The sequence below is a fragment of the Homo sapiens genome, chromosome 19, assembly GCF_000001405.40.
Source record: "Homo sapiens chromosome 19, GRCh38.p14 Primary Assembly".
Lineage (NCBI taxonomy): Eukaryota > Metazoa > Chordata > Mammalia > Primates > Hominidae > Homo > Homo sapiens.
This window is the reverse complement of record NC_000019.10, coordinates 50,088,278-50,112,790: the sequence shown is the minus strand read 5'-3', so window position 1 is coordinate 50,112,790 and position 24,513 is coordinate 50,088,278. Positions and strand designations below refer to the sequence as shown.

At 46.9% G+C, this 24,513-nt stretch overlaps 6 non-coding genes across 6 annotated transcripts; all 6 read left to right on the top strand.

Annotated features, from left to right (window-relative positions):
* The first annotated feature begins 302 nt into the window (after positions 1-302).
* On the top strand, positions 303-423 carry SNAR-A8 (small NF90 (ILF3) associated RNA A8). Its single transcript, NR_024228.1, has one exon. It is a non-coding gene; the product is annotated as a small NF90 (ILF3) associated RNA A8 (small nuclear RNA).
* Positions 424-5,656: 5,233 nt separating this feature from the next.
* Positions 5,657-5,777, top strand: SNAR-A7 (small NF90 (ILF3) associated RNA A7). Its single transcript, NR_024224.1, has one exon. It is a non-coding gene; the product is annotated as a small NF90 (ILF3) associated RNA A7 (small nuclear RNA).
* A 2,938-nt stretch (positions 5,778-8,715) lies between these two features.
* On the top strand, positions 8,716-8,836 carry SNAR-A6 (small NF90 (ILF3) associated RNA A6). The gene has a single exon (NR_024227.1). It is a non-coding gene; the product is annotated as a small NF90 (ILF3) associated RNA A6 (small nuclear RNA).
* Positions 8,837-11,779: 2,943 nt separating this feature from the next.
* On the top strand, positions 11,780-11,900 carry SNAR-A5 (small NF90 (ILF3) associated RNA A5). The gene has a single exon (NR_024223.1). It is a non-coding gene; the product is annotated as a small NF90 (ILF3) associated RNA A5 (small nuclear RNA).
* Positions 11,901-14,844: 2,944 nt separating this feature from the next.
* On the top strand, positions 14,845-14,965 carry SNAR-A14 (small NF90 (ILF3) associated RNA A14). Its single transcript, NR_024242.1, has one exon. It is a non-coding gene; the product is annotated as a small NF90 (ILF3) associated RNA A14 (small nuclear RNA).
* Positions 14,966-20,181: 5,216 nt separating this feature from the next.
* On the top strand, positions 20,182-20,302 carry SNAR-A4 (small NF90 (ILF3) associated RNA A4). Its single transcript, NR_024215.1, has one exon. It is a non-coding gene; the product is annotated as a small NF90 (ILF3) associated RNA A4 (small nuclear RNA).
* Positions 20,303-24,513: the final 4,211 nt, after the last annotated feature.

The window sequence follows — 24,513 nt, the reverse complement described above, 5'->3', positions numbered from 1 at the left end:
GTTACCTTCCCCATGAGGTCTGCCTTATACATGAGGCCTGTATTATAAACTGCAACTCCGCATTCCCCAACCCCGTTGTTTCTTCTCCCCAGAACACTAGGCACCATCTGATCTACTATGCCTTTTCCTTATTGTCAGATACTGAACTCTCAGATACAGTTCCCCTTCCTCCCTCCAGGGGGCGCCATGGAACGCAGGGCCCTCACTGGCCCTGGGGACTGGGTGACGACAGGGGGGAGCCTCTGGTGATTGGCTCCCTCACCCTGCGTAAGATCAAAGGGACTAAAGGACAGCCCCGACACCCGGAGCCATTGTGGCTCAGGCCGGTTGCGCCTGCCCTCGGGCCCTCACGGAGGCGGGGGTTCCAGGGCACGAGTTCGAGGCCAGCCTGGTCCACATGGGTCGGAAAAAAGGATTTTTTTTATCGTTCCCAATATAACGACAAAACATAAAGGGAGGACGCCTTGATAGGAAGAAATGACATCTTCCTAAGTGTTTTTAAATTACTTCCATGTGTCTTTTTTTTTTTTTTTTTTTTTGGGAGACCGAGCCTTGCTCTGTTGCCCAGGCTGGAGTGCAGTGGTGTGATCTTCGCTCACTGCAACCTCCGCCTCGTCGGTTCAAGGGAGTCTCCTATCTCAGCCTCCTGAGTAGCTGGGATTACAGTCGCCTGCCAAGAGATGGGGTTTCGCCATGTTGACCAGGCTGGTCTTGAACACCTGGCCTCAAATGATCCACTCGCCTTGGTCTCCCAAAGTGGTAGGATGACAGGCGTGAGCCACCGCGCCCAGCCTCTTCTATTCTTTTAGAGACAGGGTCTCACTCTGTTGCCCAGGCTGGAGTGCATTGATGTGATGTGTGATCATAGCTCATTGCAGCCCTGACCATCCGAGCTCAAGCAATCCTTCTGCCTCAGCCTCCTGAGTAGCTGGGGCCGCAGATGTGCACCACTGCACCTGGCTAATTTTTAACCTTTTTGTGGAGCCAGAGTCTGTATAAAATAAAGTGTAAATAGTACCATCAATAAAGAATACATAGTACCATTTTATAGTAGTATAAAACGGACATTAGAAACTCTGAACTTAAAGGTTAAAAAAATACACAAAAGTAGTTCTCAAGTTCTAGAGACTTGGAGAATCCAGGAATCAACAATGTCGTGGAACTCCTACAGCCTTTCATAAAGAATGGCCCTCGAGGAAAGTGGAATTGTCAGTGGGCATTGTGTTCGTGCCTCAGCTAAACACGGCAGGAATTTATTTATAACCTAGTGTAACATCCTCGAGGCACTGTTCAATTAGTCAAGCAATTGTAAAATTCTCCCAGTCTTAGAAAAGATACAGGTGTGTGTCCCTCTGCTGTGGCTGTGCACTGAGGCTTCGGTAAAGGTTGCCGTCTAAAACCACCGGCCGGCCCTTGAATTCTTTTTTTTTTTTTTTCAGACGGAGTCGCACTCTATCACCCAGGCTGGAGTGCAGTGACACGATCTCTGTTCACTGCAACCTCCGCCTCCCGGGTTCAAGCGATTCCCCTGCCTCAGCCTCCTGAACAGCTGGGATTACAGGCACCCGTCCCCATGCCCGGGTAATTTTTGTATATTTAGTAGAGATGGGGTTTTCAGCATGTTGGCCAGGCTGGTCTCGAACTCCTTACCTCAAGTGATCCATCCGCCTCAGCCTCCCAAAGTGCTGGGATTACAGGCGTGAGCCACTGCGCCCGGCTTCTTGAATTAGTTTCTAGGAGAAGCCAAGAACCCCCCCGGGCTAAGCCTCAATTTTGGGGCTCGCCTGTGCTGCATCAGCTTCACACCTAGAGAAGAGAGTGAAAGAGAAGGGAGAGCCGTCCTTTTGGGCTGCCTTGAAATAAAGGTTGACCCATGGGTTCATGTATTGTCATTCATTCTCATTTTCTCTTCCTCTCTTTCTCTCTCTCCCCTGCCCCTGAAGTTAGCTTTTCTAAACCCTACCTGGATAAGGATAAGAAATAGAAGGAGGGGACACTTTAGGATGCTACAAAATAAAATACAACAACAACAACAATAACAGCAGCAGCAACAACAACAACAGCAACAAAAGGGGAAGAAACAAATCTGGCCACTGCACATTCCTCCTTGCCAACAAAAAGCCGTGGATGCAAAAAGCTGCCCTTCACTGCATAGACAGAACAGGGCGCGCTCGAGCTATGAATCTCGGAAATTACTCAAACCATCAGCCTCTGCAAGAAGCAAAGTGGACGGCCGGGCGCGGTGGCTCACTCCTGGAATCCCAGCACTTTGGGAGCCCGAGGTGGGCGGATCACGAGGTCAGGAGATCGAGACTGTTCTGGCTAAACCAGTGAAACCCCCTCTCTACTAAAAAAATAACAAAAGCGAAGTGCATCTCCCATAAACGAGGTACTGCAGGAAGAAAGCAGAAAATGAGACCCGAGTACACACATGCACGCGGGCGCGCGCACACACACACCAGAAGAAATGAACCAAGAGGAAAGGAAACATTTTCAAATAAGCATTTGGAGATGGGAAAAACACCTTGAAACAGAAATTCATAAAGTACAGAATTTTTTTTAAGTTAAAAAAGGAACAATAATAGACAGAAAATGAATGAAAAATTAAATGTCATATCAGAAGTGAAGATAAATTAAAAGTGGTCAAAGGAGAAGAGATCTAAATGCAAACTTAAGAAGGGGCAATTTTTTTTTTTTTTTTTTTTTTTTGAGACGCAGCCTCACTCTGTCGCCCGGGCTGGAGTGCAGTGGCGTGATCTTGGCTCACTGAAACCTCTGCCTCCTGGATTCAAGCGATTCTCCTGCCTCAGCCTCCCAAGTGGCTGGGATTACAGGCATGAGCCACCATGCCCGGCCTAGAGTCATCATGGAAATTAAACAACCTGCTTCCAAATGACTTTTGGGTAAAGACTGAAATTAAGGCAGAAATAAAAAAATTATCTGAAACTAATGAAAACAAACATACAACATCCCAGAATCTCTGGGACACAGCTAGAACAGTGCTCAAAGGAAGTTTCTAGTGCTAAAGGGCTACACTAAGAAGCTAGAAAGATCTCAAATGAACCGCCTAACATCACACCTAGAGGAATTAGAAAAACAAGAGCAAATCAACCCCAAAGCTAGCAGAAGAAAAAAAAAAACCAACATCGGAGCTGACCTGAATGAAATGGAGACGTAAAAAACCATACAAAAGATCAATGAAACCCAAAGTTGATTTTTTAAAAAAATTATTTATTTATTATTTATTCCATAAATTATTGGGGTACAGGTGGTGTGTGGTTACATAAGCTCTTTAGTGGTGATTTGTGATTTTGGTGCACCCATCACCTGAGCAGTATACACTACACCCTACTTGTTGTATTTTATCCCTCGCCCCCGCCAACTCGTCCCCCTAAGTCCCCAAAGTCCATTGTATCATTCTTACGCCTTTGCGTCCTCATAGCTTAGCTCCCACATATCAGTGAGAACATACGATGTTTGGTTTTCCATTCCTGACTTACTTCACTTAGAATAACAGTCTCCGGTCTCATCCAGGTCACGGCAAATGCTGTTAATTCATACAAAGTTGATATTTTTGAAAGCATAAATAACATGGGAAGACCACTAGCTAGATTAATAAAGAAAAAAAGACAAGATCCAAATAAACACAATCAGAAATGACAAAGGTGACATTACCACTGACCCACAGATATACAAGAAACCCTGAGACTATTCCACATGCCTCTATGCACACAAACTAGAAAACTAGAAGAAATAGAGAAATTCCTGGAAACATAAAACCTCTCAAGATTGAACCAGGAAGAAATGGAAACCCTGAACAAACCAACGATGAGTTCCAAAATTGAGTTAGTCATACAAAACCTACCAACCAGCACAAAAAACCTTAGACTAGACGGATTCACAGTCGAATCCTACCAGACGTGTAAAGAAAAGGCGGCACTAATCCTACTGAAATTATTCCACACAATTGAGGAGGAGCAACTGCTCTCTAACTCATTCTATGAGGTCAGAGTCATTCTGATACCGAAACCTGGCAGAGACACAACGAAAAAAGGAAAATAGGTAAAGTAATACATATGTTAATGATCTTGATTTAGCCATTCTACGGTATATACATATTTCAAAACAATATGTACATGATAAATATGTACAATTTGTCAATTAAAAATATATAAAAGGAATAGGAAAAAATTCAAATGGCACAGAATTTGAAAGGAGAAGATACAGAACAAACTCCGGTGTCTTCTTTATTCAACTATATATACACACATTCAATGGACTGGGAGCAGTGGCTCAAGCCTGTAATCACAGCACTTTGGGAGGTCAAGGCGGGCAGATCACCTGAGGTCGGGAGTTCGAGACCAGCCTGACCAACAGGGAGAAACCCCAGCTCTACTAAAAATACAAAATTAGCCGGGCATGGTGGCGCATGCCTGTAATCCCAGCTACTCGGAAGGCTGAGGCAGGAGAATCGCTTGAACTCAAGAGGTGGAGGTTGTGGTGAGCCGAGATGGCACCATTGCACTCCAGCCTGGGCAACAAGAGCGAAACTCAGTCTCAAAAAAAGAAAAAAAAGGATTTAATGAATGAATGATGAGACTGTTGGTTACATCTCCCACCTTCTCCCTCTCACTCCACTGCAGCCACACGGGGCTCCTCACTGTTCCCGTAGCAGCAGGCATGTGCCCCCACAGGGCCTCTGTACTGGCTGTTCCCACTGCCCGAACACCCTCATGCACCATCTGCACTGTCCAATACGGCCGCCTCTGGCCACACATGGCTACTGAGCAGTTGAACATGGCTGGTCCAAACCAAGATTTCCAAGACGTCGTATGGTAAAAAATAACATAAAATCTTGCAAAAATGTTTCTATTGATTATGTTAAAATTATGATGTTTTAGGTATATTAGGTTAAATCAGCTATTTTATCAAAATGAATCTCACCTGTTTGTTTTTGCTTTTTTTTTTTTTTTTTTTTTTTTTTTTTGAGATGGAGTCTCGCTCTGTCGCCCAGGCGAGAGTACAATGGCGTGGTCTCGGCTCACTGCATCACTGCAACCTCTACCTCCCAGGTTCAAGCGATTCTCCTACCTCACCCTCCCAAGTGGCTGGGATTACAGGCGTGTGCCACCACACCCAGCTAATTTTTGTATTTTTAGTAGAGACAGGGTTTCACCATGTTGGCCGGGCTGGTCTCGAACTGCTGACCTCGTGATCTACCTGCCTCGGCCTCCCAAAGTCCTGGGATTACAGGTGTGGGCCACTGCGCCGGCCATGTTTCTCGACTTCTGCTGGCAAGCATGTTCCAGTATTTGCATGGCTCCTAGCCCTCATCTCCATTTCTCTGCACAGATGTTACCTTCCCCATGAGGTCTGCCTTATACATGAGGCCTGTATTATAAACTGCAACTCCGCATTCCCCAACCCCGTTGTTTCTTCTCCCCAGAACACTAGGCACCATCTGATCTACTATGCCTTTTCCTTATTGTCAGATACTGAACTCTCAGATACAGTTCCCCTTCCTCCCTCCAGGGGGCGCCATGGAACGCAGGGCCCTCACTGGCCCTGGGGACTGGGTGACGACAGGGGGGAGCCTCTGGTGATTGGCTCCCTCACCCTGCGTAAGATCAAAGGGACTAAAGGACAGCCCCGACACCCGGAGCCATTGTGGCTCAGGCCGGTTGCGCCTGCCCTCGGGCCCTCACGGAGGCGGGGGTTCCAGGGCACGAGTTCGAGGCCAGCCTGGTCCACATGGGTCGGAAAAAAGGATTTTTTTTATCGTTCCCAATATAACGACAAAACATAAAGGGAGGACGCCTTGATAGGAAGAAATGACATCTTCCTAAGTGTTTTTAAATTACTTCCATGTGTCTTTTTTTTTTTTTTTTTTTTTGGGAGACCGAGCCTTGCTCTGTTGCCCAGGCTGGAGTGCAGTGGTGTGATCTTCGCTCACTGCAACCTCCGCCTCGTCGGTTCAAGGGAGTCTCCTATCTCAGCCTCCTGAGTAGCTGGGATTACAGTCGCCTGCCAAGAGATGGGGTTTCGCCATGTTGACCAGGCTGGTCTTGAACACCTGGCCTCAAATGATCCACTCGCCTTGGTCTCCCAAAGTGGTAGGATGACAGGCGTGAGCCACCGCGCCCAGCCTCTTCTATTCTTTTAGAGACAGGGTCTCACTCTGTTGCCCAGGCTGGAGTGCATTGATGTGATGTGTGATCATAGCTCATTGCAGCCCTGACCATCCGAGCTCAAGCAATCCTTCTGCCTCAGCCTCCTGAGTAGCTGGGGCCGCAGATGTGCACCACTGCACCTGGCTAATTTTTAACCTTTTTGTGGAGCCAGAGTCTGTATAAAATAAAGTGTAAATAGTACCATCAATAAAGAATACATAGTACCATTTTATAGTAGTATAAAACGGACATTAGAAACTCTGAACTTAAAAAAATACACAAAAGTAGTTCTCAAGTTCTAGAGACTTGGAGAATCCAGGAATCAACAATGTCGTGGAACTCCTACAGCCTTTCATAAAGAATGGCCCTCGAGGAAAGTGGAATTGTCAGTGGGCATTGTGTTCGTGCCTCAGCTAAACACGGCAGGAATTTATTTATAACCTAGTGTAACATCCTCGAGGCACTGTTCAATTAGTCAAGCAATTGTAAAATTCTCCCAGTCTTAGAAAAGATACAGGTGTGTGTCCCTCTGCTGTGGCTGTGCACTGAGGCTTCGGTAAAGGTTGCCGTCTAAAACCACCGGCCTGCCCTTGAATTCTTTTTTTTTTTTTCAGACGGAGTCGCACTCTATCACCCAGGCTGGAGTGCAGTGACACGATCTCTGTTCACTGCAACCTCCGCCTCCCGGGTTCAAGCGATTCCCCTGCCTCAGCCTCCTGAACAGCTGGGATTACAGGCACCCGTCCCCATGCCCGGGTAATTTTTGTATATTTAGTAGAGATGGGGTTTCACCATGTTGGCCAGGCTGGTCTCGAACTCCTTACCTCAAGTGATCCATCCGCCTCAGCCTCCCAAAGTGCTGGGATTACAGGCGTGAGCCACTGCGCCCGGCTTCTTGAATTAGTTTCTAGGAGAAGCCAAGAACCCCCCCGGGCTAAGCCTCAATTTTGGGGCTCGCCTGTGCTGCATCAGCTTCACACCTAGAGAAGAGAGTGAAAGAGAAGGGAGAGCCGTCCTTTTGGGCTGCCTTGAAATAAAGGTTGACCCATGGGTTCATGTATTGTCATTCATTCTCATTTTCTCTTCCTCTCTTTCTCTCTCTCCCCTGCCCCTGAAGTTAGCTTTTCTAAACCCTACCTGGATAAGGATAAGAAATAGAAGGAGGGGACACTTTAGGATGCTACAAAATAAAATACAACAACAACAACAATAACAGCAGCAGCAACAACAACAACAGCAACAAAAGGGGAAGAAACAAATCTGGCCACTGCACATTCCTCCTTGCCAACAAAAAGCCGTGGATGCAAAAAGCTGCCCTTCACTGCATAGACAGAACAGGGCGCGCTCGAGCTATGAATCTCGGAAATTACTCAAACCATCAGCCTCTGCAAGAAGCAAAGTGGACGGCCGGGCGCGGTGGCTCACTCCTGGAATCCCAGCACTTTGGGAGCCCGAGGTGGGCGGATCACGAGGTCAGGAGATCGAGACTGTTCTGGCTAAACCAGTGAAACCCCCTCTCTACTAAAAAAATAAGAAAAGCGAAGTGCATCTCCCATAAACGAGGTACTGCAGGAAGAAAGCAGAAAATGAGACCCGAGTACACACATGCACGCGGGCGCGCGCACACACACACCAGAAGAAATGAACCAAGAGGAAAGGAAACATTTCCAAATAAGCATTTGGAGATGGGAAAAACACCTTGAAACAGAAATTCATAAAGTACAGAATTTTTTTTTAAGTTAAAAAACGAACAATAATAGACAGAAAATGAATGAAAAATTAAATGTCATATCAGAAGTGAAGATAAATTAAAAGTGGTCAAAGGAGAAGAGATCTAAATGCAAACTTAAGAAGGGGCAATTTTTTTTTTTTTTTTTTTTTTTTGAGACGCAGCCTCACTGTGTCGCCCGGGCTGGAGTGCAGTGGCGTGATCTTGGCTCACTGAAACCTCTGCCTCCTGGATTCAAGCGATTCTCCTGCCTCAGCCTCCCAAGTGGCTGGGATTACAGGCGTGTGCCACCACACCCAGCTAATTTTTGTATTTTTAGTAGAGACAGGGTTTCACCATGTTGGCCAGGCTGGTCTCGAACTGCTGACCTCGTGATCTACCTGCCTCGGCCTCCCAAAGTCCTGGGATTACAGGTGTGGGCCACTGCGCCAGCCTTGTTTCTCGACTTCTGCTGGCAAGCATGTTCCAGTATTTGCATGGCTCCTAGCCCTCATCTCCATTTCTCTGCACAGATGTTACCTTCCCCATGAGGTCTGCCTTATACATGAGGCCTGTATTATAAACTGCAACTCCGCATTCCCCAACCCCGTTGTTTCTTCTCCCCAGAACACTAGGCACCATCTGATCTACCATGCCTTTTCCTTATTGTCAGATACTGAACTCTCAGATACAGTTCCCCTTCCTCCCTCCAGGGGGCGCCATGGAACGCAGGGCCCTCACTGGCCCTGGGGACTGGGTGACGACAGGGGGGAGCCTCTGGTGATTGGCTCCCTCACCCTGCGTAAGATCAAAGGGACTAAAGGACAGCCCCGACACCCGGAGCCATTGTGGCTCAGGCCGGTTGCGCCTGCCCTCGGGCCCTCACGGAGGCGGGGGTTCCAGGGCACGAGTTCGAGGCCAGCCTGGTCCACATGGGTCGGAAAAAAGGATTTTTTTTATCGTTCCCAATATAACGACAAAACATAAAGGGAGGACGCCTTGATAGGAAGAAATGACATCTTCCTAAGTGTTTTTAAATTACTTCCATGTGTCTTTTTTTTTTTTTTTTTTGGGAGACCGAGCCTTGCTCTGTTGCCCAGGCTGGAGTGCAGTGGTGTGATCTTCGCTCACTGCAACCTCCGCCTCGTCGGTTCAAGGGAGTCTCCTATCTCAGCCTCCTGAGTAGCTGGGATTACAGTCGCCTGCCAAGAGATGGGGTTTCGCCATGTTGACCAGGCTGGTCTTGAACACCTGGCCTCAAATGATCCACTCGCCTTGGTCTCCCAAAGTGGTAGGATGACAGGCGTGAGCCACCGCGGCCAGCCTCTTCTATTCTTTTAGAGACAGGGTCTCACTCCGTTGCCCAGGCTGGAGTGCATTGATGTGATGTGTGATCATAGCTCATTGCAGCCCTGACCATCCGAGCTCAAGCAATCCTTCTGCCTCAGCCTCCTGAGTAGCTGGGGCCGCAGATGTGCACCACTGCACCTGGCTAATTTTTAACCTTTTTGTGGAGCCAGAGTCTGTATAAAATAAAGTGTAAATAGTACCATCAATAAAGAATACATAGTACCATTTTATAGTAGTATAAAACGGACATTAGAAACTCTGAACTTAAAGGTTAAAAAAATACACAAAAGTAGTTCTCAAGTTCTAGAGACTTGGAGAATCCAGGAATCAACAATGTCGTGGAACTCCTACAGCCTTTCATAAAGAATGGCCCTCGAGGAAAGTGGAATTGTCAGTGGGCATTGTGTTCGTGCCTCAGCTAAACACGGCAGGAATTTATTTATAACCTAGTGTAACATCCTCGAGGCACTGTTCAATTAGTCAAGCAATTGTAAAATTCTCCCAGTCTTAGAAAAGATACAGGTGTGTGTCCCTCTGCTGTGGCTGTGCACTGAGGCTTCGGTAAAGGTTGCCGTCTAAAACCACCGGCCTGCCCTTGAATTCTTTTTTTTTTTTTCAGACGGAGTCGCACTCTATCACCCAGGCTGGAGTGCAGTGACACGATCTCTGTTCACTGCAACCTCCGCCTCCCGGGTTCAAGCGATTCCCCTGCCTCAGCCTCCTGAACAGCTGGGATTACAGGCACCCGTCCCCATGCCCGGGTAATTTTTGTATATTTAGTAGAGATGGGGTTTCACCATGTTGGCCAGGCTGGTCTCGAACTCCTTACCTCAAGTGATCCATCCGCCTCAGCCTCCCAAAGTGCTGGGATTACAGGCGTGAGCCACTGCGCCCGGCTTCTTGAATTAGTTTCTAGGAGAAGCCAAGAACCCCCCCGGGCTAAGCCTCAATTTTGGGGCTCGCCTGTGCTGCATCAGCTTCACACCTAGAGAAGAGAGTGAAAGAGAAGGGAGAGCCGTCCTTTTGGGCTGCCTTGAAATAAAGGTTGACCCATGGGTTCATGTATTGTCATTCATTCTCATTTTCTCTTCCTCTCTTTCTCTCTCTCCCCTGCCCCTGAAGTTAGCTTTTCTAAACCCTACCTGGATAAGGATAAGAAATAGAAGGAGGGGACACTTTAGGATGCTACAAAATAAAATACAACAACAACAACAATAACAGCAGCAGCAACAACAACAACAGCAACAAAAGGGGAAGAAACAAATCTGGCCACTGCACATTCCTCCTTGCCAACAAAAAGCCGTGGATGCAAAAAGCTGCCCTTCACTGCATAGACAGAACAGGGCGCGCTCGAGCTATGAATCTCGGAAATTACTCAAACCATCAGCCTCTGCAAGAAGCAAAGTGGACGGCCGGGCGCGGTGGCTCACTCCTGGAATCCCAGCACTTTGGGAGCCCGAGGTGGGCGGATCACGAGGTCAGGAGATCGAGACTGTTCTGGCTAAACCAGTGAAACCCCCTCTCTACTAAAAAAATAAGAAAAGCGAAGTGCATCTCCCATAAACGAGGTACTGCAGGAAGAAAGCAGAAAATGAGACCCGAGTACACACATGCACGCGGGCGCGCGCACACACACACCAGAAGAAATGAACCAAGAGGAAAGGAAACATTTCCAAATAAGCATTTGGAGATGGGAAAAACACCTTGAAACAGAAATTCATAAAGTACAGAATTTTTTTTTAAGTTAAAAAACGAACAATAATAGACAGAAAATGAATGAAAAATTAAATGTCATATCAGAAGTGAAGATAAATTAAAAGTGGTCAAAGGAGAAGAGATCTAAATGCAAACTTAAGAAGGGGCAATTTTTTTTTTTTTTTTTTTTTTTTTGAGACGCAGCCTCACTGTGTCGCCCGGGCTGGAGTGCAGTGGCGTGATCTTGGCTCACTGAAACCTCTGCCTCCTGGATTCAAGCGATTCTCCTGCCTCAGCCTCCCAAGTGGCTGGGATTACAGGCGTGTGCCACCACACCCAGCTAATTTTTGTATTTTTAGTAGAGACAGGGTTTCACCATGTTGGCCAGGCTGGTCTCGAACTGCTGACCTCGTGATCTACCTGCCTCGGCCTCCCAAAGTCCTGGGATTACAGGTGTGGGCCACTGCGCCAGCCTTGTTTCTCGACTTCTGCTGGCAAGCATGTTCCAGTATTTGCATGGCTCCTAGCCCTCATCTCCATTTCTCTGCACAGATGTTACCTTCCCCATGAGGTCTGCCTTATACATGAGGCCTGTATTATAAACTGCAACTCCGCATTCCCCAACCCCGTTGTTTCTTCTCCCCAGAACACTAGGCACCATCTGATCTACCATGCCTTTTCCTTATTGTCAGATACTGAACTCTCAGATACAGTTCCCCTTCCTCCCTCCAGGGGGCGCCATGGAACGCAGGGCCCTCACTGGCCCTGGGGACTGGGTGACGACAGGGGGGAGCCTCTGGTGATTGGCTCCCTCACCCTGCGTAAGATCAAAGGGACTAAAGGACAGCCCCGACACCCGGAGCCATTGTGGCTCAGGCCGGTTGCGCCTGCCCTCGGGCCCTCACGGAGGCGGGGGTTCCAGGGCACGAGTTCGAGGCCAGCCTGGTCCACATGGGTCGGAAAAAAGGATTTTTTTTATCGTTCCCAATATAACGACAAAACATAAAGGGAGGACGCCTTGATAGGAAGAAATGACATCTTCCTAAGTGTTTTTAAATTACTTCCATGTGTCTTTTTTTTTTTTTTTTTTTGGGAGACCGAGCCTTGCTCTGTTGCCCAGGCTGGAGTGCAGTGGTGTGATCTTCGCTCACTGCAACCTCCGCCTCGTCGGTTCAAGGGAGTCTCCTATCTCAGCCTCCTGAGTAGCTGGGATTACAGTCGCCTGCCAAGAGATGGGGTTTCGCCATGTTGACCAGGCTGGTCTTGAACACCTGGCCTCAAATGATCCACTCGCCTTGGTCTCCCAAAGTGGTAGGATGACAGGCGTGAGCCACCGCGCCCAGCCTCTTCTATTCTTTTAGAGACAGGGTCTCACTCCGTTGCCCAGGCTGGAGTGCATTGATGTGATGTGTGATCATAGCTCATTGCAGCCCTGACCATCCGAGCTCAAGCAATCCTTCTGCCTCAGCCTCCTGAGTAGCTGGGGCCGCAGATGTGCACCACTGCACCTGGCTAATTTTTAACCTTTTTGTGGAGCCAGAGTCTGTATAAAATAAAGTGTAAATAGTACCATCAATAAAGAATACATAGTACCATTTTATAGTAGTATAAAACGGACATTAGAAACTCTGAACTTAAAGGTTAAAAAAATACACAAAAGTAGTTCTCAAGTTCTAGAGACTTGGAGAATCCAGGAATCAACAATGTCGTGGAACTCCTACAGCCTTTCATAAAGAATGGCCCTCGAGGAAAGTGGAATTGTCAGTGGGCATTGTGTTCGTGCCTCAGCTAAACACGGCAGGAATTTATTTATAACCTAGTGTAACATCCTCGAGGCACTGTTCAATTAGTCAAGCAATTGTAAAATTCTCCCAGTCTTAGAAAAGATACAGGTGTGTGTCCCTCTGCTGTGGCTGTGCACTGAGGCTTCGGTAAAGGTTGCCGTCTAAAACCACCGGCCTGCCCTTGAATTCTTTTTTTCTTTTTCAGACGGAGTCGCACTCTATCACCCAGGCTGGAGTGCAGTGACACGATCTCTGTTCACTGCAACCTCCGCCTCCCGGGTTCAAGCGATTCCCCTGCCTCAGCCTCCTGAACAGCTGGGATTACAGGCACCCGTCCCCATGCCCGGGTAATTTTTGTATATTTAGTAGAGATGGGGTTTCACCATGTTGGCCAGGCTGGTCTCGAACTCCTTACCTCAAGTGATCCATCCGCCTCAGCCTCCCAAAGTGCTGGGATTACAGGCGTGAGCCACTGCGCCCGGCTTCTTGAATTAGTTTCTAGGAGAAGCCAAGAACCCCCCCGGGCTAAGCCTCAATTTTGGGGCTCGCCTGTGCTGCATCAGCTTCACACCTAGAGAAGAGAGTGAAAGAGAAGGGAGAGCCGTCCTTTTGGGCTGCCTTGAAATAAAGGTTGACCCATGGGTTCATGTATTGTCATTCATTCTCATTTTCTCCTCCTCTCTTTCTCTCTCTCCCCTGCCCCTGAAGTTAGCTTTTCTAAACCCTACCTGGATAAGGATAAGAAATAGAAGGAGGGGACACTTTAGGATGCTACAAAATAAAATACAACAACAACAACAATAACAGCAGCAGCAACAACAACAACAGCAACAAAAGGGGAAGAAACAAATCTGGCCACTGCACATTCCTCCTTGCCAACAAAAAGCCGTGGATGCAAAAAGCTGCCCTTCACTGCATAGACAGAACAGGGCGCGCTCGAGCTATGAATCTCGGAAATTACTCAAACCATCAGCCTCTGCAAGAAGCAAAGTGGACGGCCGGGCACGGTGGCTCACTCCTGGAATCCCAGCACTTTGGGAGCCCGAGGTGGGCGGATCACAAGGTCAGGAGATCGAGACTGTTCTGGCTAAACCAGTGAAACCCCCTCTCTACTAAAAAAATAAGAAAAGCGAAGTGCATCTCCCATAAACGAGGTACTGCAGGAAGAAAGCAGAAAATGAGACCCGAGTACACACATGCACGCGGGCGCGCGCACACACACACCAGAAGAAATGAACCAAGAGGAAAGGAAACATTTCCAAATAAGCATTTGGAGATGGGAAAAACACCTTGAAACAGAAATTCATAAAGTACAGAATTTTTTTTTAAGTTAAAAAACGAACAATAATAGACAGAAAATGAATGAAAAATTAAATGTCATATCAGAAGTGAAGATAAATTAAAAGTGGTCAAAGGAGAAGAGATCTAAATGCAAACTTAAGAAGGGGCAATTTTTTTTTTTTTTTTTTTTTTTTTGAGACGCAGCCTCACTGTGTCGCCCGGGCTGGAGTGCAGTGGCGTGATCTTGGCTCACTGAAACCTCTGCCTCCTGGATTCAAGCGATTCTCCTGCCTCAGCCTCCCAAGTGGCTGGGATTACAGGCGTGTGCCACCACACCCAGCTAATTTTTGTATTTTTAGTAGAGACAGGGTTTCACCATGTTGGCCAGGCTGGTCTCGAACTGCTGACCTCGTGATCTACCTGCCTCGGCCTCCCAAAGTCCTGGGATTACAGGTGTGGGCCACTGCGCCAGCCTTGTTTCTCGACTTCTGCTGGCAAGCATGTTCCAGTATTTGCATGGCTCCTAGCCCTCATCTCCATTTCTCTGCACAGATGTTACCTTCCCCATGAGGTCTGCCTTATACATGAGGCCTGTATTATAAACTGCAACTCCGCATTCCCCAACCCCGTTGTTTCTTCTCCCCAGAACACTAGGCACCATCTGATCTACCATGCCTTTTCCTTATTGTCAGATACTGAACTCTCAGATACAGTTCCCCTTCCTCCCTCCAGGGGGCGCCATGGAACGCAGGGCCCTCACTGGCCCTGGGGACTGGGTGACGACAGGGGGGAGCCTCTGGTGATTGGCTCCCTCACCCTGCGTAAGATCAAAGGGACTAAAGGACAGCCCCGACACCCGGAGCCATTGTGGCTCAGGCCGGTTGCGCCTGCCCTCGGGCCCTCACGGAGGCGGGGGTTCCAGGGCACGAGTTCGAGGCCAGCCTGGTCCACATGGGTCGGAAAAAAGGATTTTTTTTATCGTTCCCAATATAACGACAAAACATAAAGGGAGGACGCCTTGATAGGAAGAAATGACATCTTCCTAAGTGTTTTTAAATTACTTCCATGTGTCTTTTTTTTTTTTTTTTTTTGGGAGACCGAGCCTTGCTCTGTTGCCCAGGCTGGAGTGCAGTGGTGTGATCTTCGCTCACTGCAACCTCCGCCTCGTCGGTTCAAGGGAGTCTCCTATCTCAGCCTCCTGAGTAGCTGGGATTACAGTCGCCTGCCAAGAGATGGGGTTTCGCCATGTTGACCAGGCTGGTCTTGAACACCTGGCCTCAAATGATCCACTCGCCTTGGTCTCCCAAAGTGGTAGGATGACAGGCGTGAGCCACCGCGCCCAGCCTCTTCTATTCTTTTAGAGACAGGGTCTCACTCTGTTGCCCAGGCTGGAGTGCATTGATGTGATGTGTGATCATAGCTCATTGCAGCCCTGACCATCCGAGCTCAAGCAATCCTTCTGCCTCAGCCTCCTGAGTAGCTGGGGCCGCAGATGTGCACCACTGCACCTGGCTAATTTTTAACCTTTTTGTGGAGCCAGAGTCTGTATAAAATAAAGTGTAAATAGTACCATCAATAAAGAATACATAGTACCATTTTATAGTAGTATAAAACGGACATTAGAAACTCTGAACTTAAAGGTTAAAAAAATACACAAAAGTAGTTCTCAAGTTCTAGAGACTTGGAGAATCCAGGAATCAACAATGTCGTGGAACTCCTACAGCCTTTCATAAAGAATGGCCCTCGAGGAAAGTGGAATTGTCAGTGGGCATTGTGTTCGTGCCTCAGCTAAACACGGCAGGAATTTATTTATAACCTAGTGTAACATCCTCGAGGCACTGTTCAATTAGTCAAGCAATTGTAAAATTCTCCCAGTCTTAGAAAAGATACAGGTGTGTGTCCCTCTGCTGTGGCTGTGCACTGAGGCTTCGGTAAAGGTTGCCGTCTAAAACCACCGGCCTGCCCTTGAATTATTTTTTTCTTTTTCAGACGGAGTCGCACTCTATCACCCAGGCTGGAGTGCAGTGACACGATCTCTGTTCACTGCAACCTCCGCCTCCCGGGTTCAAGCGATTCCCCTGCCTCAGCCTCCTGAACAGCTGGGATTACAGGCACCCGTCCCCATGCCCGGGTAATTTTTGTATATTTAGTAGAGATGGGGTTTCACCATGTTGGCCAGGCTGGTCTCGAACTCCTTACCTCAAGTGATCCATCCGCCTCAGCCTCCCAAAGTGCTGGGATTACAGGCGTGAGCCACTGCGCCCGGCTTCTTGAATTAGTTTCTAGGAGAAGCCAAGAACCCCCCCGGGCTAAGCCTCAATTTTGGGGCTCGCCTGTGCTGCATCAGCTTCACACCTAGAGAAGAGAGTGAAAGAGAAGGGAGAGCCGTCCTTTTGGGCTGCCTTGAAATAAAGGTTGACCCATGGGTTCATGTATTGTCATTCATTCTCATTTTCTCTTCCTCTCTTTCTCTCTCTCCCCTGCCCCTGAAGTTAGCTTTTCTAAACCCTACCTGGATAAGGATAAGAAATAGAAGGAGGGGACACTTTAGGATGCTACAAAATAAAATACAACAACAACAACAATAACAGCAGCAGCAACAACAACAACAGCAACAAAAGGGGAAGAAACAAATCTGGCCACTGCACATTCCTCCTTGCCAACAAAAAGCCGTGGATGCAAAAAGCTGCCCTTCACTGCATAGACAGAACAGGGCGCGCTCGAGCTATGAATCTCGGAAATTACTCAAACCATCAGCCTCTGCAAGAAGCAAAGTGGACGGCCGGGCGCGGTGGCTCACTCCTGGAATCCCAGCACTTTGGGAGCCCGAGGTGGGCGGATCACGAGGTCAGGAGATCGAGACTGTTCTGGCTAAACCAGTGAAACCCCCTCTCTACTAAAAAAATAAGAAAAGCGAAGTGCATCTCCCATAAACGAAGTACTGCAGGAAGAAAGCAGAAAATGAGACCCGAGTACACACATGCACGCGGGCGCGCGCACACACACACCAGAAGAAATGAACCAAGAGGAAAGGAAACATTTTCAAATAAGCATTTGGAGATGGGAAAAACACCTTGAAACAGAAATTCATAAAGTACAGAATTTTTTTTAAGTTAAAAAAGGAACAATAATAGACAGAAAATGAATGAAAAATTAAATGTCATATCAGAAGTGAAGATAAATTAAAAGTGGTCAAAGGAGAAGAGATCTAAATGCAAACTTAAGAAGGGGCAATTTTTTTTTTTTTTTTTTTTTTGAGACGCAGCCTCACTCTGTCGCCCGGGCTGGAGTGCAGTGGCGTGATCTTGGCTCACTGAAACCTCTGCCTCCTGGATTCAAGCGATTCTCCTGCCTCAGCCTCCCAAGTGGCTGGGATTACAGGCATGAGCCACCATGCCTGGCCTAGAGTCGGCATGGAAATTAAACAACCTGCTTCCAAATGACTTTTGGGTAAAGACTGAAATTAAGGCAGAAATAAAAAAATTATCTGAAACTAATGAAAACAAACATACAACATCCCAGAATCTCTGGGACACAGCTAGAACAGTGCTCAAAGGAAGTTTCTAGTGCTAAAGGGCTACACTAAGAAGCTAGAAAGATCTCAAATGAACCGCCTAACATCACACCTAGAGGAATTAGAAAAACAAGAGCAAATCAACCCCAAAGCTAGCAGAAGAAAAAAAAAAACCAACATCGGAGCTGACCTGAATGAAATGGAGACGTAAAAAACCATACAAAAGATCAATGAAACCCAAAGTTGATTTTTTAAAAAAATTATTTATTTATTATTTATTCCATAAATTATTGGGGTACAGGTGGTGTGTGGTTACATAAGCTCTTTAGTGGTGATTTGTGATTTTGGTGCACCCATCACCTGAGCAGTATACACTACACCCTACTTGTTGTATTTTATCCCTCGCCCCCGCCAACTCGTCCCCCTAAGTCCCCAAAGTCCATTGTATCATTCTTACGCCTTTGCGTCCTCATAGCTTAGCTCCCACATATCAGTGAGAACATACGATGTTTGGTTTTCCATTCCTGACTTACTTCACTTAGAATAACAGTCTCCGGTCTCATCCAGGTCACGGCAAATGCTGTTAATTCATACAAAGTTGATATTTTTGAAAGCATAAATAACATGGGAAGACCACTAGCTAGATTAATAAAGAAAAAAAGACAAGATCCAAATAAACACAATCAGAAATGACAAAGGTGACATTTCCACTGACCCAGAGATATACAAGAAACCCTGAGACTATTCCACATGCGTCTATGCACACAAACTAGAAAACTAGAAGAAATAGAGAAATTCCTGGAAACATAAAACCTCTCAAGATTGAACCAGGAAGAAATGGAAACCCTGAACAAACCAACGATGAGTTCCAAAATTGAGTTAGTCATACAAAACCTACCAACCAGCACAAAAAACCTTAGACTAGACGGATTCACAGTCGAATCCTACCAGATGTGTAAAGAAAAGCCGGCACCAATCCTACTGAAATTATTCCACACAATTGAGGAGGAGCAACTGCTCTCTAACTCATTCTATGAGGTCAGAGTCATTCTGATACCGAAACCTGGCAGAGACACAACGAAAAAAGGAAAATAGGTAAAGTAATACATATGTTAATGATCTTGATTTAGCCATTCTACGGTATATACATATTTCAAAACAATATGTACATGATAAATATGTACAATTTGTCAATTAAAAATATATAAAAGGAATAGGAAAAAATTCAAATGGCACAGAATTTGAAAGGAGAAGATACAGAACAAACTCCGGTGTCTTCTTTATTCAACTATATATACACACATTCAATGGACTGGGAGCAGTGGCTCAAGCCTGTAATCACAGCACTTTGGGAGGTCAAGGCGGGCAGATCACCTGAGGTCGGGAGTTCGAGACCAGCCTGACCAACAGGGAGAAACCCCAGCTCTACTAAAAATACAAAATTAGCCGGGCATGGTGGCGCATGCCTGTAATCCCAGCTACTCGGAAGGCTGAGGCAGGAGAATCGCTTGAACTCAAGAGGTGGAGGTTGTGGTGAGCCGAGATGGCACCATTGCACTCCAGCCTGGGCAACAAGAGCGAAACTCAGTCTCAAAAAAAGAAAAAAAAGGATTTAATGAATGAATGATGAGACTGTTGGTTACATCTCCCACCTTCTCCCTCTCACTCCACTGCAGCCACACGGGGCTCCTCACTGTTCCCGTAGCAGCAGGCATGTGCCCCCACAGGGCCTCTGTACTGGCTGTTCCCACTGCCCGAACACCCTCATGCACCATCTGCACTGTCCAATACGGCCGCCTCTGGCCACACATGGCTACTGAGCAGTTGAACATGGCTGGTCCAAACCAAGATTTCCAAGACGTCGTATGGTAAAAAATAACATAAAATCTTGCAAAAATGTTTCTATTGATTATGTTAAAATTATGATGTTTTAGGTATATTAGGTTAAATCAGCTATTTTATCAAAATGAATCTCACCTGTTTGTTTTTGCTTTTTTTTTTTTTTTTTTTGAGATGGAGTCTCGCTCTGTCGCCCAGGCGAGAGTACAATGGCGTGGTCTCGGCTCACTGCATCACTGCAACCTCTACCTCCCAGGTTCAAGCGATTCTCCTACCTCACCCTCCCAAGTGGCTGGGATTACAGGCGTGTGCCACCACACCCAGCTAATTTTTGTATTTTTAGTAGAGACAGGGTTTCACCATGTTGGCCGGGCTGGTCTCGAACTGCTGACCTCGTGATCTACCTGCCTCGGCCTCCCAAAGTCCTGGGATTACAGGTGTGGGCCACTGCGCCGGCCATGTTTCTCGACTTCTGCTGGCAAGCATGTTCCAGTATTTGCATGGCTCCTAGCCCTCATCTCCATTTCTCTGCACAGATGTTACCTTCCCCATGAGGTCTGCCTTATACATGAGGCCTGTATTATAAACTGCAACTCCGCATTCCCCAACCCCGTTGTTTCTTCTCCCCAGAACACTAGGCACCATCTGATCTACTATGCCTTTTCCTTATTGTCAGATACTGAACTCTCAGATACAGTTCCCCTTCCTCCCTCCAGGGGGCGCCATGGAACGCAGGGCCCTCACTGGCCCTGGGGACTGGGTGACGACAGGGGGGAGCCTCTGGTGATTGGCTCCCTCACCCTGCGTAAGATCAAAGGGACTAAAGGACAGCCCCGACACCCGGAGCCATTGTGGCTCAGGCCGGTTGCGCCTGCCCTCGGGCCCTCACGGAGGCGGGGGTTCCAGGGCACGAGTTCGAGGCCAGCCTGGTCCACATGGGTCGGAAAAAAGGATTTTTTTTATCGTTCCCAATATAACGACAAAACATAAAGGGAGGACGCCTTGATAGGAAGAAATGACATCTTCCTAAGTGTTTTTAAATTACTTCCATGTGTCTTTTTTTTTTTTTTTTTTTGGGAGACCGAGCCTTGCTCTGTTGCCCAGGCTGGAGTGCAGTGGTGTGATCTTCGCTCACTGCAACCTCCGCCTCGTCGGTTCAAGGGAGTCTCCTATCTCAGCCTCCTGAGTAGCTGGGATTACAGTCGCCTGCCAAGAGATGGGGTTTCGCCATGTTGACCAGGCTGGTCTTGAACACCTGGCCTCAAATGATCCACTCGCCTTGGTCTCCCAAAGTGGTAGGATGACAGGCGTGAGCCACCGCGCCCAGCCTCTTCTATTCTTTTAGAGACAGGGTCTCACTCCGTTGCCCAGGCTGGAGTGCATTGATGTGATGTGTGATCATAGCTCATTGCAGCCCTGACCATCCGAGCTCAAGCAATCCTTCTGCCTCAGCCTCCTGAGTAGCTGCGGCCGCAGATGTGCACCACTGCACCTGGCTAATTTTTAACCTTTTTGTGGAGCCAGAGTCTGTATAAAATAAAGTGTAAATAGTACCATCAATAAAGAATACATAGTACCATTTTATAGTAGTATAAAACGGACATTAGAAACTCTGAACTTAAAGGTTAAAAAAATACACAAAAGTAGTTCTCAAGTTCTAGAGACTTGGAGAATCCAGGAATCAACAATGTCGTGGAACTCCTACAGCCTTTCATAAAGAATGGCCCTCGAGGAAAGTGGAATTGTCAGTGGGCATTGTGTTCGTGCCTCAGCTAAACACGGCAGGAATTTATTTATAACCTAGTGTAACATCCTCGAGGCACTGTTCAATTAGTCAAGCAATTGTAAAATTCTCCCAGTCTTAGAAAAGATACAGGTGTGTGTCCCTCTGCTGTGGCTGTGCACTGAGGCTTCGGTAAAGGTTGCCGTCTAAAACCACCGGCCTGCCCTTGAATTCTTTTTTTTTTTTTTTCTTTTTCAGACGGAGTCGCACTCTATCACCCAGGCTGGAGTGCAGTGACACGATCTCTGTTCACTGCAACCTCCGCCTCCCGGGTTCAAGCGATTCCCCTGCCTCAGCCTCCTGAACAGCTGGGATTACAGGCACCCGTCCCCATGCCCGGGTAATTTTTGTATATTTAGTAGAGACAGGGTTTCACCATGTTGGCCAGGCTGGTCTCGAACTGCTGACCTCGTGATCTACCTGCCTCGGCCTCCCAAAGTCCTGGGATTACAGGTGTGGGCCACTGCGCCGGCCATGTTTCTCGACTTCTGCTGGCAAGCATGTTCCAGTATTTGCATGGCTCCTAGCCCTCATCTCCATTTCTCTGCACAGATGTTACCTTCCCCATGAGGTCTGCCTTATACATGAGGCCTGTATTATAAACTGCAACTCCGCATTCCCCAACCCCGTTGTTTCTTCTCTCCAGAACAGTAGGCACCATCTGATCTACTATGCCTTTTCCTTATTGTCAGATACTGAACTCTCAGATACAGTTCCCCTTCCTCCCTCCAGGGGGCGCCATGGAACGCAGGGCCCTCTCTGTCCCTGGGGACTGGGTGATGTCAGGGGTGAGCCTCTCGTGATTGGCTACATCGCTCCCCAGAAGGTCAAATGGAAAAATTGAGAGCACTTTTCCACCAGCTTCGGTGGCTCCGTCAGGTTGTCCTGGCGCACAAGCTGGCGATGCTATGTGTTTGAAGCTAACCTGGACAAAATTGAAAAAAATTGTTTTTTCATTGTTCCGTCATAAAGGGAGGTCTCGACAGGAAGAAATTGCGTTTCCAATAGAATTGTTTTTAAATTACTGCAATATATCTTTTGAGATGGAGTCTTGCTCTGTTGCCTAGGGTGGAGTGCAGTCTTATGATCTCGACCTCTGCCTTCTGGGTTGAAGAGAGTCTCCTCTCTCACCCTGAGGTTACAGGCGCACACTACCACACTTGGCTAATTTTTGTATTTTTGGCTTCTTTTTGAGATGGAGTCTTGCTCCGTCGCTGAGGCTCAAGGGCAGTGGTGCGATCTTGGCTGACTGCAACCTCTGCCTTCCGGGTTCAAGTGATTCATCTGCCTCAGCCTCCCGAGTAGCTGGGACTACAGGCACGTGCCACCACGCCTAGCTAATTCTTTGTATTTTTAGTAGAGAAAGGGTTTCACTGTGTTAGGATGGTCTCTATCTCCTGACCTTGTGATCTGCCCGCCTCAGCCTCCCAAAGTGGTGGGATTACAGGTGTGAGCCACCGCTACCTGGCCTTTTTTTAAATTTAATTATTTATTTATTTATTTATTTTTATTTTGAGGTGGAGTCTTACTCTGTTGCCCAGGCTGGAGTGCAGTGGCGCAATTTTGGCTCACTGCAACCCCCGCCTCCCAGGTTCAAGCAATTCCTTTGCCTCAGCGACCCAGTAGCTGGGATTACAGGCGCGTGCCACCATGTCTGGCAATTTTGTGTATTTTTAATAGAGACGAGGTTTCCCCATTTTGGCCAGGCTGGTCTTCAACTCCTGACCTCAGGTGATCCGCCCGCCTCCGCTTTCCAGACTGCTGGGCTTACAGGCGTGAACCACTGCGCCAGCCTCTTTATCCCTTCTATACTGCATACCCCAAGTTGCAAACTGTTATTAGAGTGAATACCTAGGGGCAACTTGGATCCTTATAATGGACACCTGATATTTTTGCCTGAGTGACATCTGTTATCTCTGATTTTCTTCTTCATTAATAATTTTTTTTGGAGCAGTCTTAGGTTTACAGGAAAAAATCGAATGAAAAGTACCGAGAGTTTCTACATCCCCTTTCATCCCTTCATTGCCCCTCATCTTCCCTGTTAACATCTTGTGTTACTGTGCTACGTTTGTTACAATTAATAAGCCAATATTGATACATTATTATTAGCTGAAATCTGCAGTTTACATTAAGGTCCACTCCTTGTGTGATACCTTGTACATTCTATTTTTTTTTTTAATAAAGCATTTTTTTGGTGTTGTTTTTTTTTTTTTTTTTTTGAGATGGAGTCTTCCTGTGTCACCCAGGCTGGAGTGCAGTGGCGTGATCTCAGCTCACCGCAAGCTCCACCTCCTGGGTTCACACCATTCTCCTGCCTCAGCCTCCTGAGTAGCTGGGACTACAGGTGCCCGCAATCACGCCCGGCTAATTGTTTGTATTTTTAGTAGAGACGGGGTTTCACCGTGTTATCCAAGATGGTCTCGATCTCCTGACCTCATGATCTGCCCACCTTGGCCTCCCAAAGTGCTGGAATTACAGGCATGAGCCACCGCGCCAGGCCTTTTTTTTTTTTTTTTTTTTTTTTTTTCAGTTTTAAAATCACAGCAAAATTGAGAGGAAAGTCCATAGTTTACATTCAGTTTCTCTCTTAGTGTTTTATTGTCTATGGGTTTGAACAAATTTATAATGACATGTGTCCACCATTATAGTATTATGCAGAGTAGTTTCACTGTCCTAAAACTCCTCTGGGCTCTGCTGATTCATCCTTCCCTCCTCCCAAACCCCTAAAAACCAATGATTTTTTTTAACTGTCTCTATAGTGTTTCCTTTTCCAGAATGTGGTATAGTTGGAATCATACCATATGTAGCGATTTCGTATTGGCTTCTTTCACTTAACAATATGCATTTTAGGTTCCTCCATATCTTTTCATGGCTTATTATAACTGAGTAATATTCCATTGTATGCATGTACTGCAGTTTGTTCATCTACTGAAGGACATCTTGGTTGCTTCCAAGTTTTGGCAATTATGTACAGAGCCGCTATGAATATTTGTCTTCAGGTTTTTGTGGGGATATAAGTTTTGAGCTCATTTGAGTAAATACCAAGGAACATGAGTGCTGCAATATATGGTAAGAGTGTTTAGTTTTGTAAGGAAGTGCCAAATTGTCTTCTAAAGTGGCTGCACCATTTTGCATTACTGCCAGAGATGAATAAGAGTTCCTGACGTTCCTCATCCTCATCAGCACTTGGTGTTATTCATGTTTTGGATTTTCACCATTCTAATAGGTGGTTGTCGTATGTCATCATTGCTTTAATTTGCAATTTCCTAATGACATTTGATGTTGAGCCCCCTTTTTTTTTGGAGACAGAGTCTTGCTCTGTCGCCGAGGCTGAAGTGCAATGGCATGATCTCGGCTCACTGCAACATCTGCCTCCCAGGTTCAAGTGA